Source organism: Homo sapiens, chromosome 6 (assembly GCF_000001405.40).
Source record: "Homo sapiens chromosome 6, GRCh38.p14 Primary Assembly".
NCBI lineage: Eukaryota > Metazoa > Chordata > Mammalia > Primates > Hominidae > Homo > Homo sapiens.
The window spans coordinates 27,207,172-27,226,278 of record NC_000006.12 but is presented as its reverse complement, the minus strand read 5'-3'; the positions used below and the strand labels follow the sequence as shown (position 1 = coordinate 27,226,278).

Sequence of the window (19,107 nt, the reverse complement as noted above, 5' to 3'; positions counted from 1 at the left end):
TTTCAGGCTACGTGGTTGTCTGAGACCTTAACTTTTTCGTGGGTTCAAGGAAAATTATGCTTCTCTAGACTATGTGGACTTTTCTTTCTTTTTTCTTTTCTTTTCTTTTTTTTTCGAGATGGAGTTTCACTCTTATCGCCCAAGCTGGAGTGCAATGGCTCCATCTCGGCTCACTGAAACTTCCACCTGCCGGGTTGAAGCAATTCTCCTGTCTCAGCCTCCCGAGTAGCTGCGATTACAGGCATGAGCCACCATGCCCTGCTAGTTTTTTTTGTTGTTGTTGTATTTTTAGTAGAGACAGGGTTTCACCATGTTAGCCAAGCTGGTCTCAAACTCTTGACGTCAGGTAATAGGTGATTCGCCCACCTCAGCCTCCCAAAATGCTGGGATTACAGGCGTGATCCACCGCCCCCGGCCTATGCGGACTTTTTCATTGTTAGATTAGGAGCAATATTCTTTCCAACTTTCTATATTCTAGGTGGAGGCTGGAGTCCCTTTAGGATTTTAATCTGAGCATAAAGGATAGCATCCTTTTCATTGCCTACTGTATTATTTTGTTAATCCTCTGAATATCAAGCATTATGAAAAATCATAGTAAGTTAGAAATAGACCTGTTTACAATAATCGCGTATTGAAGACAGGCATCTGCTATCTTTCTAGCCAAAAATTCAGAGAGAGAGAGAGAGAGAGAGAAGAAAGAGAAGGAAGGAAGAAAAGAAAGAAAGAAAGAAAAAAGAAAAAAGGAGAGAGAGCCGTTCATAAGTACAAAAGGACAATAATGGGAAAGTAGAAAGCAGTAGCAAAATTCTGAAAACCAAATAACAGAAGGACTAGTGTGATACACAAGGGAAGTTTCACCTTAAGCCAGAATTGGGAAAAGCCAAAGAATATAACTTACCTTGTGAAAGCCAGCCCCCAAAATTTCAGGTATTGGTGGCGTTTGTGTACATGTAGTGGATAGGGGAGTGAAAATAGATCTCGTTTTAATGCCATTTTGAGGAAATTTAGAGTTATATAGCCCCTTGCTCTGTTTCAGAATATGGAGGAAATTTATAGCAGGATATTTAGAAGACGATTCTATTAAGTGAGTAATATGGAGGCTCACTAGCCTGGAGGAGACTAACAAATTTGAAAGGTGTACAACATCCTACAAAGCAATGGAACTTTACCTTATTTTGTCTCCAATTCATTTTTAGGACTATGATCTCCGGGTTGACTGGAAGTTGATTTCTGGAAATCTGCCCAACCCTCTTACTGATCCTTACTGATTACTTACTGTCTCCTGACAGTGGAGGTTTCTCCCAACCACGGTGTCCCAGCCATATAAATCAAAAGTTATTTTTCTCTTTAAGAACCACACTCAAGTGCTCTGAGCTTCCGATCAGGCTGGGGTTAGCAAGTGTGAAGATGGCAGTGATACTACCAAATAAGGTTAAAGATCTCAGTTCCACAATTGGCCTTCTCTGAAACCACCTCAGCTGCTGGCCAAAGGTGAGAGTTTGGGCTACCGACTGGGCCTTTCAGGTGGAGAATGAGGGAGTAGGGATATTGGAGTTCAGCGTTTTCTGTAGTGTGCTGTTGGAATAGAGAATTATTGTCTGTAAGTTTTGTCTTGCTAGGCTGCTCTTTTTCTTGTCATTTGGCTAGAGAAAGCTTGCTTTTCCTGTGGCTTTTTTGTCTGTGTTGATGGGTTGTTGGCTTCTCCAGCACTCAGTCCAGGATACATGAAATTAAAAAAAAAAAAATTAAGAAATTTACCAACGTGTCTTTCCTCAGGTCGAAAGTTCTCCCACCAGTTTGCCTTCTCTCCACTTTTCGAAGTCTTCTTATGTTTGTTTTATATATGATGTCCAGGGTTTTTAACTGTGTTTAGTGGGAATGATAGGAAAAATATGACTACATTGTCTTCTCAATCAGCATTTTATTTTATTTTATTTTATTTTTTGAGACAGAGTCTCACTCTGTCACCCAGGCTGGAGTGCAGTGGCAGGATCTCAGCTCACTGCAACCTCCACCTCCCGGGGTTCAAGCAATTCTCCTGCCTCAGCTTTCTGAGTAGCTGGGATTACAGGCACGTGCCACCACAACCGGCTATTTTTATTTATTTATTTATTTATTTTGTATTTTTAGTAGGGGTGGAATTTCTCCATGTTGGCCAGGCTGGTCTCAAACTCCTGGCCTCAAGTGATATACCCACCTTGGCCTCTCAAGTGTTGGGATTACAGGCTTGAGCCACCATGCCCAGCCTCAATCAGCATTTTAGTCTCCTATTCTTAAATATATGTGTCAAAGATTAATATGTGTCCTCCCCTCTTTACCAAATTCATATTTTGAAGTCCTAACACGTACTAATTGAGAATGTGACTATCTTTGGAGATGGGGCCTTTGAATGAGGTGTTTAGAATTGACCATAATGCAGTATGACATGTCTTTGAAAGAAAAGATTAGGACACAGACACACCCAGAAGGAAGAGGATGTGAGGACGTGGAGGAGATGGCTATCTGCAAACCAGGGAGAGAAGCATAAAATAAACAAACAAACAAATCCTGTTGACACCATAATTTCTGACCTCTAGCCTCCAGAAATGTAAGAAAATAAATGTCTGTTGTTTAAATCACACAATCTGTGGTACTTTGTTATGGAAGTGATAACAAACTAATACAACGTGTATAGTGCAAGGATCACCAAATATATATAGAGAGAGAGGTGGGGGAGAGAGAGAGATGGAGGGAGGGAGGAAGGATATAAAAAGAGATTTTTAAAATACAATTTAAGGACACAGACTGCAGGAAAAACTTTATATCATATATCATATTATATCATATCTCACTAATATCTTCAGAAGGGAGAGAAACAATACTGTATCCAATAACAAGGACTAGGATCCAATGAAGAAAAGCTTTCATAAAACCAAAAAAAAAAAAAAAAAAAAAAAAGCACGGGCGCGGTGGCTCACGCCTGTAATCCCAGCACATTTGGAGGCTGAGGCAGGCGGATCACCTGAGGTCAGGAGTTTGAGACCAACCTGACCAACATGGAGAAACCCCGTCTCTACTAAAAATACAAAATTAGCCAGGCACGGTGGCACATGCCTGTAATCCCAGCTACTCAGGAGGCCGAGGCAGGAGAATCACTTAAATCCGGGAGGCGAAGGTTGCGGTGAGCCGAGATCGCGCCATTGTACTCCAGCCTGGACAACAAGAGCAAAACTCTGTCTCAAAAAAAAAAAAAAAAAAAAAAAACCACAAAAACAAAACAAAACGAAAAACCAAAAAAGAGGTTTTGGAAATCAAAATTATGTTAATAGGAAATAATTTAAATATGAAGTAAATGTGTTTGACGATAAAGTATACAAAAACTACATGTGGTGTTTCAGGTTCAGTCAGATTGGCAACTTTAAAGGACATATATGTGGCTTAGCCTGAAAAAAAGAGAACTAGAGGAGGAAAGGGTAAACCGATCATCCAGAAATATCTAAAGTGAGTTGAAAAGAACAGAAGAAGCTGGGCGCAGTGGCTCATGCCTGTAATCCCAGCACTTTGGGAGGCCGGGGCAGGCGGATCATTTGAGGTCAGGAGTTCCACACCAGCCTGGCCAACACGGTGAAACCCCATCTCTACTAAAAATACAAAAATCAACCAGGCCTGGTGGCAGGCACCTGTAATCCCAGCTACTTGGGAGGCTGAAGCAGGAGAACTGCTTTAACCCAGGATGTGGAGGTTGCAGTGAGCCGAGACTGTGCCATTGCACTCCAGCCTGGACGGCGAGAGCAAAACTCTGTCTCAAAACAAACAAACAACAAAAACAAAAACAAAAACCACACAAAATAACAAGCGGGGTGCAGTGGTTCACCCCCGTAATCCCAGCACTTTGGGAGGCCGAAGCAGGTCGATCACCTGAGCTCAGGAGTTCAAGACCAGCCTGGCTAACACATAGTGAAACCTCGTCTCTACTAAGAAAAATACAAAAATTAGCTGGCCATGGTGGCGGGTGCCTGTGATTCCAGCTACTTGGGAAGTCGAGGCAGGATAATCGCTTGAATCAGAAAGGCGGAGGTTGCAGTGAGGTGAGATCCTGCCACTGCACTCCTGCCTGGGTGACAGAGCAAGACTCTGTCTCTCAAAAACAAAAAACAAAAAACCCAAAAAGAACAGAAGAAAAAGACAACAGCACATATATGGATCACTCACTATTTAAAAGTGCATAATTGATGGTACCTACTTAGCAGTTTTCAGTGTGTTATGAGTTGGAAGATACTGTTTGGGGGCACTGCTCTGCGATCTTGCTCATTATGGAGCCATCTGTGCGCATGATTGCTTTTTTTACGTTTCAACCTGCAATTCATCCTTTTAGACTGCTTTTTGAAATGGGATCTGGGCCCTTTAATTTTTTTTTTTCTTGTGCCAGCTGGCACTGAATTTTGTCAGGTGTGGGTGCTGGAGAGACTTTGCAGGAGGAAAAGAGTTTTGCTTTCTGGTTCCAGCAGCTCCTGCAGACCTCTCAACTTCTCCAGTGTCCAGCTCCATTCTATTGACTTCCATGAAAGTGGAGAAAAGAAAGTGGAGGCGGGTGCAGTGGCTCACACCTGTAATCCCAGCACTTTGGGAGACCAAGGCAGGTGGATCACCTGAGGACAAGAATTCGAGACTAGCCTGACCAACATGGCAAAACCCCGTCTCTACTAAAAACAGAAAAAAAAAAATTAACTGGGTATGGTGGTGGGCACCTGTAATCCCAGCTACTTGGGAGGCTGAGACAGGAGAATCACTTTAAATCCGGGAGGCGGAGGTTGGTTGAGCTGAGATCGCGCCATTGCACTCCAGGCTGGGGAACAAGAGCGAAACTCCCTCTCAAAAAACAAACAAACAAACAAACAAAAAAAAACAATTTTTGTGGAGATCATACAAAATTGAAATTTTGTAATTGAAAATCATACAAAATTGATTTCCAGTAACTACTGGAGTTCTTATTGCGTGTTCTCAAATGGTAAAGTCATAGATAAAAGACAAAATATTCAATGATTGCAAAAGAAATCATTGGTAATCTTATTGTATAGGACAAGGAAATTGTCATCAGATGAAAACACTAATTTTTTTTTTTTGAGACAGAGTCTTGCTCCCAGGCTGGAGTGCAGGGGCTGCCATCTCGGCTCACTGCAACCTCTGCCTCCTGGGTTCAAGTGATTCTCCTGCCTCAGCCTCCTGAGTAGCTTGGGATTACAGGTGCCCACCACCATGCCTGGCTAATTTTTGTATTTTTAGTAAAGACAGGTTTCACCATGTTGGCCAGGCTGGTCACGAACTCCTGACCTCAAGTGATCCACCAGCCTCGGCCTCCCAAAGTGCTGGGATTACAGGCATGAGCCACCGCACCAGACCTGAAAATTCTAAAATTTTTTTGTTCCCAATAAATAATTGACAGTGCTTTAGTCATGCCATGTAGGGAATGATTGTTCATGCGGCTTCCATCATGTAGCATATTCCATCCAGTCTTTCCTCCTTTCTTCCTTAAAGACTTCCTGCCACCCTCAAAAACTAAATTGATGAACTAGACCTCAGGCTTTTTAGTTTTCCACAGCATATAACAAATGAATAACACAGATGTCATCAAGAATGAATTCCTTAAACTGTATGCAACAAAGATAGAGCTACACTTGTAAAAATTACAAAGCCTATAGAAAGCCCTACCAAACTGAAATCCAGGATCTTCAGTTTACTAAGCAAGCTCTTTAGCCAACCCATAGATCTCTCTTGAATGAAAAAAGAAAATCAGGAAAAGAAATTTAGTATGAGGAGTTTACCATTTTTGCACCCTAGAAATTGGTTTAAGAGAGGCTGGGCACGGTGGCTCACATCTGTAATCCCAGCAATTTGGGAAGCTGAGGCAGGTGGATCACCTGAGGCCAGGAGTTTGAGACCAGCCTTATCAACATGGTGAAACCCCATCTCTACTAAAAAACACAAACATTAGCTGGGAATGGTGGTGGGCGCCTGTAATACCAGCTACTCGGGAGGCTGAGGCAGGAGAACCTCTTGAACCCAGGAGGCGGAGGTTGCAGTGAGCTGAGATTTTGCCATGGAGTGCCTGGGCGACAGCAAGACTCCGTCTCTCTCTCTCTCTCTCTCTCTCTCTCTCTCTCACACACACACACACACACACACACAGAAAAAAAGAAATTGGTTTAAGAGAAGAACATATGTATTTATTGATGAAAAACAAATGCAATATGACAGCATTATAGAGTCTGGAGTCTGCTCAAAGGCACTGTGCCCCTGGTAAATTGATAGCACTTTACTGATGTTACCACATCAATAACCACAAGAAGATATGAGTTAACATATAATATCATATAGTGGGTAATTTTAAGTTTTCTAGTAATACTAAGAAAGTAAAGTTAAACAAGTGAAATTAATTTAATTTTATTTTTTTTAAGAGAAGGGGGCTCGCTGTATTGCCCGCGTTGGTCTCAAACTCCTAGGTTCAGGAAATTCCCCTTTCCACAGCCTCTGGAATAGCTGGGATTACAAGAGCATACCACTGTGCCCAGCTACTTCTAATATATTTTAACTCCAAATATTATCATTTAAACATGTTATCAAGAAAATATGAGAATTCTTTTTTCTTTCTTTCTGTTTTTGTACTATGTTTTTGAAATATGTGTGAGTGGCTGTTGTGGACAGTGCTGCTCTAGAATACTCAGGAGAAAAGAAAGTATTTTATCTTCAAATACAATCTCTGTAGTTTTTTCAGTGGAGTGGGATGGGGTCCCAATCTGCTTATCATATCAAAGGTCAAAGGCTTCTTTTTCTTAGTATAATATTTTCAATGTTCATTCATGTCATAGCTTGTATTAGAATTTCATTTCTTTTTATAGATAAATAATACTTTTTTTTTTTTTTGAGATGGAGTTTCGCTCTTATGGCCCAGGCTGGAATGCAATGGGGTGATCTCAGCTCACTGCAACCTCCGCCTCCCAGGTTCAAGTGATTCTCCTGCCTCAGCCTCCTAAGTAGCTGGGATTACAGGTGGCTGCTACTACACAAGGCTAATTATTGTATTGTTAGTAGAGATGGGGTTTCACCATGTTGGCCAGGCTGGTGTCGAACTCCTGACCTCAGGTGATCCACCTGCCTCAGCCTCCCAAAGTGCTGGCATTACAGGCGTGAGCCATCGCACCCCGCCAAATAGTACTCTTTATTTGATTTTTTTGAGTTGTCTTTCCAGAGATCTCTTTCAGCCAACCCCTTTCTCAGTATCAGTAAAAGAAAGGAGATTAAGAGAATGCATTTTCAGAAGAGAATGTTTTGTTTAAGGGGGAGATGTTGTCTTTTTCAAAAAAATTGTGTATTTTATTGGAGACGAGGGTCTCATTCTGTTGTCCAAGTTGGCCTTCAATTGCAGGCCTTAAGCGATTCTCCCGCCTCAGCCTTCTGAGTATAGTTACAGAGTCACGCCACCATGCCCAGGTTGGTGTTGTCTTTCTATGAAAAAGCCGCCACAGAACAGAACAAAACAATGCGACGAAATCTACACGTTTATTAAACACGAAAACAAAAATAAAAATCTTGAAAGTAGAAGGGAATTACCTCGGTTGGTTAAAGCCCAGTAACATAAGATTGTGAGTCCCACTCCCGGTAGACGCTCAATTTTTCACCTTCTACCGTGGAAGTTCTCTGTTGGTGTTAGTTGCAAAAAGTGGGCGATAAAAGAAAATGCACGAATACAGTGCTACTTACAGTCTGGTCGGCATCACCCAGCTAAAAATTAATGGGCCTCATCAAAGAATCGACGTAGAATCACTGGAGGTAAGTCCCGGAAAACTGGGTATAATACTCCTTCTCAGGGATTCTCCAGCGCGCTAAATAAAGTTTGAGTAGCATTTTAAGGAGCTCCGAATCCTTTGGACCGTCCTCCACATCCACCCCTTTTTTTTTTACCGGCTCACAGCCCAAGAGAAAGTGGATCCAATGAGGTCTAGGCGCGTGGAGAGTTCGTTAAGTTCCCAGCACCCATCACATCGCACATTGTCTATCGTCGATACACTTCTGTACGATAAATATTGAGTATACTACAAATTAAGGTATCTTTTGCTTGTGCGTGTTCTCTTTCCTGCGACACCTTGATTTCCTATGCAAGTTCCTCCACGATGCCCCAGGCGTCGGGGATCAAATTCAGAAACACCTGGAAAGGAGAGCCATCTGTTTTATCAGACACCGCCCCAAGGATTCTCTTCCTTACACCCTATCCCTCTTGTTGCATGTTTAACGTTTGTCTGGGATCCCTTTCAAGTCCGGTTTCTTAATGTCAGTATGTAGCAGGAAGGCTCGCAAGCTCTTCTTGGTGCGATCGTGGGACTGGACGGGGATATCGAGGCTGAATCGCGTTAGCAGGCATGGGACAGGGCATTACCAAGATCGCCGAACTGAGAGACTAAGGGAGACACTGATTTCTATTCTTCACAGCCGCGCCTTTCTTAATTCAATATTTCTCCAGACGATGTCCCTTCTTTTACGTCCAGGACCTATGCTCAGGGACAAAGTTGTGCAGGAAAGGGTCTGAAGAGTGGAAGCCTGCCCAAGGCGGGGGAAAATAAATGAAGAAACTGTCTGGGTAAGCATAGGCACAGAAGAAACAAACAAACAAAAAGATACTTGATTTAAAATACTAAAAAAAGTGGTTGGGCGGCGGCTCACGCCTGTAATCCCAGCTCTTTGGGAGGCCGAGGCGGACGGATCACCTGAGGTCAGGAGTTCGAGACCATAATGGCCAAAATGGCGAAACCCCATCTCTACTAAATATACCAAAAATAAATAAATAAATAAATAAGAAATTAGCCGAGCGCGGTGGCATACTGCTGTAATCCCAGCTACCCGGGAGGCTGAGGCAGGAGAATCGCTGGAAATCGGGAGACAGAGGCTGCAGTGAGTTGACATCCTGCTACTGCACTCCAGTCCAGCCTGGGCAACAGGGCAACACTCCGTCTGAAAAAAACAAAAAACCAAAAAAACAAAAACAAAAACAAAGTAAAAAAAAGAAAAAAGAAAAATGTCGGTCGGTCGCGGTAGCTCAGGCCTGTAACCCCTGTACTTTGGGAGGCTGAGGCGGGCGGATCACTTCAGTTCAGGAGTTCGAGACCAACCTGACCAACATGGCGAAACCCCGTCTCTACTCAAAATTTCCTTCCTTCCTTTCTACTTTTTTGTTTTGTTTTGTTTTGTTTTGTTTTGTTTTTGGCGGGTTTCGCTCTTGTGGGCCGAGCTGGAGTGCAGTCGCGCGATCTCGGCTCCCTGCAACCTCTGCCTCCCGGGTTCAAGCGATTCTCCTGCCTCAGCCTCCCGGGTAGCTGGGATTACTGGCGCCCACAACCACGCTTGGCTAATTTTTGTATTTTTAACAGAGACAGGGTTTCACCACGTTGGTCAGGCTGGTCTCAAACTCCTGACCTCAAGTGATCCGCCCGCCTCGGCCTCCCAAAGTGCTGGCATTACAGGCGTGAGCCACCACGCCCCGCCTAAAAATACAAAAATTAGCCGGGGGTGGCGGCGGACACCTGTAGTCACAGCTATTCCGGAGGCTGAGGCACGAGAATGGCTTACACCTGGAGGCGGACGTTGCAGTAAGCCGAGATGGAGCCACTGCACTCCAGCCTGGGCGACAAAGGGAGATCCAGACTCAAAAGAAAAGAAAAAAAGTCGGTAGGTCAATATTGTTTTTTAAATTTGGATTTAAAAAATTAAGATATAATTAACATAACATAAAATCCAACTTTTGAAGGTGTACAATTCACTGCTTTTTAGTGTATTCACAGACTTGTGCAACTATCACCATTATCTAATTTCAAACCATTCTCATCATCCCAAACAAACTCCGTACTCATTCCCCTCTTTCTCCAGCCCCTGGCAAATATTAACACTTTCTACCTTTACAGATTTGTCTATTCTAGACATTTTCTATAAATTGAATCATACAATATGTAGCTTTTCGTGTTTGGCTTCTTTTCCTTAGCATAATATTTTCAAGGTTCATTCACTTTGTAGCACGTATTGTAACTTTATTTTATTTTATTTTATTTATTTATTTTGAGACAGTGTCTCGCTCTACAGCCCAGGCTGGAGTGCAGTGGCGCCATCTCGGCTAACTACAACCTCCACCTCCCGGGTTCAAGAGATTCTCCTGCCTCAACTTTCCGAGTAGCTGGGATTACAGGCGCGCATTACCATGTCTGGCTAATTTTTGTATTTTTAGTAGAGCCATGCTTAGTAGAGCTGTGTTGGCCAGGCTGGTCTCGAACTCCTGACCTCAGGTGATCCGCCCTCCTCGGCCTCTCAAAGTGCTGGGATTACAGACGTGAGCCACCATGCCCGGCCTAGAACTTTACTTCTTTTTGTTGTCGAATGTTTGAATTTTTTGAGTTGTCTTTCCAGAGATCTCTTTGAACCAACCCATTTCTCAGTATCAGTTGGGAAAAAAAAAGAAAGGGGAGATTTAAAAAATGCAATTTCCAGGCCGGGCGCGGTGGCTCACGCCTGTAATCCCAGCACTTTGGGGAGGCCAAGGAGGGCGAATTGCCTGAGATCTGGAGTTTGCGACCAGCCTGGGCAACACGGTGAAACCCCTGTCTCTACTAAAATACAAAAAATTAGCCAGGCCTGGCGGCGTCAGCCTGTAGTACCAGCTATTTGGGAGGCTGAGGCAGGAGAATTGCTTGAACCCGGGAGGCAGAGGTTGCAGTGTGCCGAGATGCAGCCAGTGCGCTCCAGCCTGGGCGACAGAGCGAGACTCCGTCTCAAAAAAAAAAAGAAAAAAAGCAATTTCCGAAGAGACTTAAGGTCTCAAATTTCAGTTTGATACTTAACTTTAAACCAGACTTAAAGGTCACGATTGTGATGTGCAGCAGTACGGTGCAAGGTGAAGAGCCAGATCAGATGAATTTTCTTTCAAAGGACTTTAAGAACCGGTTTCTGTCATCAGTTTGAAAACACACAGGATATTTTTCTTAAAAAAAAAAAAAAAAAAAGCCAAGATTAACACCCGAGCCAGCCAGGAGTCGAACCTAGAATCTTCTGATCCGTAGTCAGACGCGTTATCCATTGCGCCACTGGCCCTCGGTTGCGCTTTTGACTACTGGCCACTCAGTCTGCGTCTGTCGATTATCTATCATTGATGTACCCGCTTTTTGTTTTTGTTTTTGTTTTTTAATGAGACAGAGTCCTGCTCTCTCGCCCAGTCTAGAGTGCACTGGCGCGATCTCGGCTCACTGCAACCTCCGCCTCTCGGGTTCAAGCGATTCTCCTGCCCCAGCCTCTTGAGTATCTGGGATTACAGGCGCGCGCCACCACTCCCGGCTGATTTTTGTATTTTTAGTAGAGACGGGGTTTCACCATGTCGGCCAGGCTGGTCTCCAGCTCCTGACATCAGGTGATCCGCCCGCCTCGGCCTCCCAAAGTGCTGGGATTACAAGCGTGAGCCACCGCCCCCTTGTGTCTATTGCACTTGTGAAAGCTTCATTAATTTATGCAGTCGGTGCATCTGCTCATTCATTAAATAATTTCATTTTTTAAACATACTTGTGTTGGATACTGATGCTTTGTGTGGAACAGTGATCAGAGATCCAAATACTTTAAAAATTTTGAGATAATGAAAAAGAAAATGGAATACTTTCTTGAGGTACACATCATATGTTTTCCATTTCATTCTCCAAAGAACCATAACAAAAGAAACATAACCAAAGAATCCTTACAGAGAAAATAATTTCATACTTTATGCAACAGAAAAGACATTAAGAAACATCTCCCAGGCCGGGCGCCGTGGCTTACGCCTGTAATCCCAGCACTTTGGGAGGCAGGTTGATCACTTGAGGTCAGGAGTTCGACACCAGCCTGGCCAACATGGTGAAACCCTGTCTCTATTAAAAACACAAAAAATTAGCCTGGCGTGGTGGCGCGCGCCTGTAATCCCAGCTCATCGAGAGGCTGAGGCAGGAGAATCGCTTGAGCCGGGGAGGCGGAGGTTGCAGTCAGCCGAGATCGCGCCACTCCACTCCAGCCTTGGTGACAGAAGGAGACTCCGTCTCATAAAGAAAAAAAAACGAAAAGAAAAGAAAAAAAGAAAGAAGTGGGCACATCAAGTAAACAAATGTCAACGACAGTAACTCTATTATGTACATGATGTTCCAAAGCAGAAAATTTCTTTATAAATATAAATATCTGAAGGGAGTGAAACTTATTTAAATTGACCACAAAGACAATCGCGCTTTGCTAGAATCCACAGTCTTGTTCAATGTACGCCTGGTTGTATTGCAAACCAACTATTTTCTTAGTGATCCTAATGAAGAATAGATAATCGAGAGACCCACAACGACGGGCCAGTGGCGCAATGGATAACGCGTCTGACTACGGATCAGAAGATTCTAGGTTCGACTCCTGGCTGGCTCGGAGGCTTATTTTCTTCCCCCCCCCACACACGAATTCTCGCTCTTGTCCCCCAGGCTGGAGGGCAATGGCGCGATTTCGGCTCACTGCAACCTCCGCTTCCCGAGTTCAAGCAATTCTCTTGCCTCAGCCTCCCGAGTAGCTAGTAATACAGGCGCCTGCCACCACGCTCGGATAATTTTTGTATTTTAAGTAGAGACGGGGTTTCACCATGTCGGCCAGGCTGGTCTCGAACTCCTGACCTAAGGTGATCAGAGCGCCTCGGCCTCCCAAAGTGCTTGGATTACAGACATGAGCCACCGCGCCCGGCCTTTTTTTTTTTTTTTTTTTTAATTTTTAAAGAAAAATATCATCCTGTGTGTTTTCCGTTTTTTCTTTTTTTTTGAAATGGAGTTTCGCTCTTGATGACCAGGCTGGAGTTCAATGGGGCAATCTCGGCTCACCGCAACCTTTGTCTCCCGGGGTCAAGCGATTCTCCTGACTCAGCCTCCCGAGTAGCTGGGATTACAGGCATGCGCCACCCACGCCTGTCTAATTTTGTATTTTTAGTAGAGACAGAGTTTCTCCATGTTGGTCAGGCTGGATTCGAACTCCCGATCTCAGGTGATCCGCCCACCTCAGCCTCCCAAAGTGCTGGGATTAGAAGCGTGAGCCACCGCCCCCTTGTGTCTATTGCACTTGTGAAAGCTTCATTAATTTATGCAGTCGGTTCATCTGTTCATTCATTAAATAATTTCATTTTTTAATATACTTATGTTGGATACTGATGCTTTGTGTGGAACAGTAGAGATCAAAATACTTTAAAATTTTGAGATAATGAAAAAGAAAATGGAATAAAATACATTCTTGGGGTATACATCATATGTTTTCCATCTCATTCTCCAAAGAATCATAACAAAACAACCATAACCACAAAACCATTACAGAGGAAGTAATTTCCTCTGTAATTATAAGACTCTATGCAACAGAAAAGATTTTAAGAAACATGTCTCAGGCTGGGTGCGATGGCTAACGCCTGTAATCCCAGCACTCCAGGAGGCCGAGGTGGGTGGATCACCTGAGGTCAGGAGTTCGACACCAGCCTGGCCAACATGGTGAAGCCCCGTCTCTACCAAAAACACACACAAAAATTAGCCGGGCGTGGTGGCACATGCCTGTAATCCAGCTCGGGAGGCTGACGCGGGAGAATCGCTTGACCCCGGGAGGCAGAGGTTGCAGTGAGCCTAGATCGCGCCATTGCACTCCAGCCTGGGCAACAAGAATGATACTCCGTCTCAAAAAAAAAAAAAAAGAAAAAGAAAAAGAAAAGAAAAAAGAAAGAAAGAAACATCTTCCTTCCCCAAATTAGGTAAATTGATATAATAATTCAAGAAAGGTAAACATTTTGGCTGGGCACAGTGGCTCACACCAGCACTTTGGGAGGCCTAGGCGGGAGGATCGCTTAAACCCAAGATTTAGAGAACAGCCTGGGCAACATAGCGAGACACGGCGCTGCTCCCCACCCCTCCCCCGCCCTGCCCGTCTCAAAAGAAAAAAAATGGTAAACATTTTAACAACAAAATTCATTTAGCAACCTAGAAACTTGGAGTTAATATAAATATAAAGTTAAATTATAACAGTCATCATTAGATAAATTGGCTAAATATTATTTAAGGACTCAATGTAGGCGAAATAGGCATGTGAAAATGCAAAAGTATTTATAAACGGGGGTGGGTGGTCCTCTCCTCTGAAAGTGAGAAGCTCGGTAGTTTTGGGCCCCATTGCAGCCACAGTGCACAGCGCCTTTATCCCGACTCCTTCCTTGTAGCCTTGGCTAAGTTGTGTATCCGCCTTTTGTCTCAATTTCCTCATTTCTATTCACTGCTTTTTTTGTTGGTTTTGTTTTTTTGTTTTTGCTTTTTTTTTTGGACAGGAAGTAGGATTTACGGCGAGTATTAAGAGGAGGCAGCACAGTGGAAGCCCTCATGAATGCAAAGCCCTCCCTTGTCCAGAGGGCCACGATCGGGGATGTACTTGATCCCACAGCCATCTGGGATGAGCTGCTTCTCAGCCACCATGTCTTCAAATTCATCTGCATCGAACTTGGTGAAGCCCCCCTTCTTTGAAATGTGGACCTTCTGGCGGCCAGGGAACTTGAACTTGACCCTGCGAAGGGCCTCAATCACATGCTCCTTGTTCTGCAGCTTGGTGCGAATGGACATGATAACTTGGCCAATGAGAATCCTGGCCACAGTGCCCTGCGGGCTTTCCAAAGGCACCTCCCATACCTGTTTGGAGCCTGTCAGTCCCAGCACAGGACAACATCCTGTTGATGCAGATGACGTGGAAGGGGTGCAGCCGCACTCGGATATGAAAGCCATTTTTGCCACAACTTTTTACTATGTACTTATTGGCACAAATTTGGGCAGCCACCAGGGCTTCAGAGGAGAGCTGCTCATATTCATCTGACGCCATGTGACCAAAGAGAGGAAACTCATCCACTTTTGCTTGCTTCCCAGGTCTAAGATGCGAATCTTGGCATCAGGGACACCTCAGCAGAAGCAAGACTTTGGATACGGCTTGTTTTCACAATACCGGTAACAACGGGCGCGGCGGCGGCCCATGGTGACACCAGGATCTTCAGTGGCACGCCGAAGGGAAAGAGCTCTATTCACTTTTTTTTTCTTTTTTTTGGAGACGGAGTCTCGATCTGTCACCCAGGCTGGAGTGCAGTGGCGCGCTCTCCGCTCACTGCAAGCTCCGCCTCCCGGGTTCACGCCATTCTCCTGCCTCAGCCTCCCGAATACCTGGGACTACAGGCGCCCGCCACCACGCCCAGCTAATTTTTTTTTTTTTTGTATTTTTAGTCGAGACGGGGTTTCACCGTGGTAGCCAGGATGGTCTCGATCTCCTGACCTCGTGATCCTCCCTCCTTGGCCTCCCAAAGTGCTGGGATTACAGGCGTGAGCCACCGTGCCCAGCCTGTTCACTCTTTTTAAGAGTGCCAGGCACACACATACTAATGGATATTTATGATCTTAGATCTTTTAAATTATCATCAGCCTGGTTTGTTTTTAATACCACAGAACTACTTAATGATGCTTACCTACATTTCTATTATCAGTACAGGGAGTTTTTGTTGTTGTTGTTTGTTTGGTGTTTTTTTAAATTATTATTTTATTTTAATTTTATTTTTTTCTCTTTCTGTCACCCAGCCCCAGGCTGGAGTGCAGTGGCGCGATCTCGGCTCACTGCAACCTCCGCCCCCCGGGTTCAAGCAATTCTCTGCCTCAGCCTCCCGCGTAGCTGGGACTACAGGCGCCCGCCACCACGCCTGGCCTCCGAAAGCGCTGGGATTACAGGTGTGAGCCACTGCGCCCGGCCTGGGGAGTTGTATTTTTATTTTTATTTTTTATTTATTTTTTTGAGACGGAGTCTCGCTCTATTGCCCAGGCTGGACTGCAGTGGCCTGATCTCGGCTCACCGCAACCTTCACCTCCCGGGTTCAAGCAATTCTCCTGCCTCAGCCTCCCAAAGTGCTGGGATTACAGGCGTGAGCCACCGCGCCCGACTGAGGGGAGTTGTATTTTTAAAGCAAAATTTCCTCTTTGCCGTTAGAATCTGTCGCTGCTTTCCCATTTAGCAATCTCAAAACAAAGTGAGCAGCTATTGTGAAAGCCCAAGAAGCCCCAGGCTTCCTGTGGACTCTGAGGAGTAGGTAGATCTTTGATGGAAGCACCGCCCGGGGCTCAGGGGTTCACTGAGGCTCAGCTGGGAGGAGCAGGTCCGGGTGCTTAGGGTAAAGGTGGGCGGTCCAACACAGAGTTCGAGATAGGACGCGGCCCTCTTCTCAGTTTGTATGTGAAATAAGATGAAAGACTGAGAGTCACAGCGATTTGTGATTTAGAAAAAAAAGAGAGAGAGAGGTACCGAGAAGCGCTGTGAGCAGGATTTGAACCTGCGCGGGGAGACCCCATTGGATTTCGAGTCCAACGCCTTAACCACTCGGCCATCACAGCCCTCTAAATGGTTACTATTTATGCATCAAAAACACATACGCATAGGGCCCTGCATGCTGTAATTCTCACTGCTAGCCTCTCTTGTTTATTTGTATGTGGGGCTGTGGGGCTGCAGCTGTTTACTTTCAAGTGGTGCCTGCATATTGTACAGAACATACAGAACATCTATAAACCATTCTTGAGTTTTTTCTTCTTCAGTCAACTGGTCATTTAGAACTCTTATGAGGCCATAGATGTAGATGTACACACACACACACACAAATAAACAGAAGGCAATATAGCAAGAGTAGATGCCATAAACAGCTGTGCCACTTCCTCATGCAACCTACTTGTGCCTTTAGGAGCTGCTCAAGCTTTATTTAATACATCCCATTTCCATTTGATAATGGAACGCTGCTGTGCATGTCTAAATTTATGGCTTGGTAACACACACTATCCAGTTCAAGATCTGCATCTGAGGCCATATGGTAATGTGGTGGTATGTGGTCAAGCATTCAGACTGTACTAAGAACCTGGTTAAAAAAAAAAAAAGCTGGTAAAAGCTACTTGTCTAAAGAAGAGTAGTTACCCACAGAGGATGGCAAAACTTTGCTCTGAAATTCTAAAGTTCTGTGCCGTGATTCACCTGTAGAAATTTGCCAAAGCCTCCAGATAACATCCCTCTTCTCTGACACTTGAAGAAAGATCAATTCTTCTGGTTCTTATGGTCCCAGTGGCAGAGTCGCTTGAGCTGCAACGTGGTCCTGTTGCAGAACCATTTCCTGTTCTAGGCCCCCACTCAAAACTGGGATATTTTCAGGTTACTTGATAAATGGTTTGGTGTAGCGTGCCCAAATGTTGCCTCCCAAATCCAAAGAGTTCTACTCAGTATGTTCTACTCAGTATTGTACCACTTTCTTTCTTTCTTTTTTTTTTTTTTTTTTGAGACGGAGTCTGTCGCCCAGGCTGGAGTGCAGTGGCACGATCTCGGCTCAATGCAAGCTCCGCCTCCCGGGTTCACGCCATTCTCCTGGCTCAGCCTCCCGAGTAGCTGGGACTACAGGGGCCCGCCACGCCCGGCGAATTTTTTGTATTTTTTTTTTTATTATTAGTGACGGGGTTTCACTGTGTTAGCCAGGATGGTCTCGATCTCCTGACCTCGTGATCCGCCCGCCTCGACCTCCCAAAGTGCTGGGATTAGAGGCGTGAGCCACCGCGCCCGGCCACCGCTTTCTTAATAAGAAAAGGTATCAGATGCAGCAACTCATAATGTTGCAGACAATTGGACACCTAGAAATTTCACTGAGGTAGTAAGGCTCTGATTCTTTGTGAGGTTTATTTCCCACCGTCTGGCATACAAATGTCTTACCAATGTTATAGAGTAGTTGCTACCTTCTTGTCACTAAAAATATAATTAATGTAAGAGACCAGTATGATGTTCTATGGAATGGTAAGGTGATAAAACTCCCTGTGGACTAGTTGGTGACACAGGGTTAGAGACTCAATATATCCCCAAGGTAGTGAGACAGCCAGGTGGGAGGGGGTCCCTGGATTCCAACCAGCCTACCCACTGAGGTGGAGCCTCAGGAAGTTCATGATGTTTGCAGCTGGGAGGATCCTGGCCCTTCCTCTTCCTATGTGGAACCTGGGATTCCAACTGCTGGGCAGGAAGTAGAAGCGCTCTAGTGGAGGGACTCTGGCCTTGCGAGAGTCCCTGTTTCCCCCTTTTTCCCTTTTCACCCAATAAAACCCTGTCTTACTCACCAAATTGTCTGCAAGCCTGAATTTTCATGGCTGTGGGACAAAGAACCCCATCTTTAGCTGAACTAAGGAAAAGTCCTGCAACAGTAGGGCAGATAAGGTGTACTGCTGGCCTTGCCAGCTAAAAGACCACTGCTTCTGATGGTCTTAATGATTAAGTATAGAGAAAAAAGAACTAACCATATCAATAACAGCATAGCAGGTACCAGGAGATGTGTTAATATTTCCATTAATGAAACCACATCTGGAATAGCAGATGCAATTGGAATATTTACCTGACTAAATTTTCAATAATTCACCATCATTCTCCATAATCCATTTGTCTTCCGCAGTTGAATAATGAGTTGAATAGAGATATGCTAAGAACCACCAGCCCTGCATCTTTCAAGTCCTTGATGGTGCCATCCTTTCTGCAATCCCTCCAGGAGTACAATATTCCTTTCGGTTTATAATTTTCATAGGTAGAGGAATTTCCAGTGGCTTCCCCTTGGCCTTTTATACCATAATAGCCTGCACTCTATCACTCATAGAAACAATATAAATATTCTGTTTGGAATTGGGAAAATAACTACAGAGTAGGTTCAGGGATCTGCTGTGCCTATAGTGAAATGCACCAGAGGCAAAATTTCATTGAATGTCTGACCTCTCTGAGTCCCTAATTTGCCAGGTGGACAATAGTGATGCTTAGTATCTCTAGGAATTAATGTCAGTTCAGGATCTTTGTTTAGTAATTCCTGAAAAGTCTGCCTATTTCCCCTTTCCCAAAGCACAGTCACTCTGGTAAATGGATACAGGCCCCTTTAGAGAAGGGAGGAAGAATAACAGTATAAATTTGTACTAAGCTATGAGTATTCTTTCTCAAGAGAAGCTTACCTTCTCCTCAGTCAAAGCTGGCTCATATCTGGGAATTGGTTGGGAGGCCATGATTCTCTGTTTT

The 19,107-nt window shown here is 44.4% G+C and overlaps 1 long non-coding RNA gene, 3 other non-coding genes and 1 pseudogene across 4 annotated transcripts, besides 2 other annotated features; 1 reads left to right on the top strand and 4 right to left on the bottom strand.

Moving 5' to 3' along the window:
- Nucleotides 1,316-1,375: an enhancer, noted in NCBI's record as "active region_24274". NCBI's record gives its function as "activates an Ori minimal core promoter by ATAC-STARR-seq in GM12878 lymphoblastoid cells {active_cell/tissue: GM12878}" and the evidence as "EXISTENCE:reporter gene assay evidence [ECO:0000049][PMID:35858748]".
- Nucleotides 7,518-8,613, bottom strand: LOC124901293 (uncharacterized). The gene is made up of 2 exons (XR_007059536.1): nucleotides 8,411-8,613; nucleotides 7,518-8,182 (listed from the first exon to the last, which is right to left on the bottom strand). It is a non-coding gene; the product is annotated as an uncharacterized LOC124901293 (long non-coding RNA).
- Nucleotides 10,636-11,136: an enhancer, noted in NCBI's record as "H3K4me1 hESC enhancer chr6:27182922-27183422 (GRCh37/hg19 assembly coordinates)". NCBI's record gives its function as "activates a minimal SCP1, AML or CMV promoter by ChIP-STARR-seq in naive H9 embryonic stem cells {active_cell/tissue: H9 hESC(naive)}" and the evidence as "EXISTENCE:reporter gene assay evidence [ECO:0000049][PMID:30033119]".
- On the bottom strand, nucleotides 11,034-11,106 carry TRR-ACG2-3 (tRNA-Arg (anticodon ACG) 2-3). Its single transcript has one exon. It is a non-coding gene; the product is annotated as a tRNA-Arg (tRNA).
- TRR-ACG2-2 (tRNA-Arg (anticodon ACG) 2-2) lies at nucleotides 12,363-12,435 on the top strand. The gene has a single exon. It is a non-coding gene; the product is annotated as a tRNA-Arg (tRNA).
- On the bottom strand, nucleotides 14,338-15,076 carry RPL10P2 (ribosomal protein L10 pseudogene 2; annotated as a pseudogene).
- On the bottom strand, nucleotides 16,349-16,430 carry TRS-CGA2-1 (tRNA-Ser (anticodon CGA) 2-1). Its single transcript has one exon. It is a non-coding gene; the product is annotated as a tRNA-Ser (tRNA).
- Nucleotides 16,431-19,107: the final 2,677 nt, after the last annotated feature.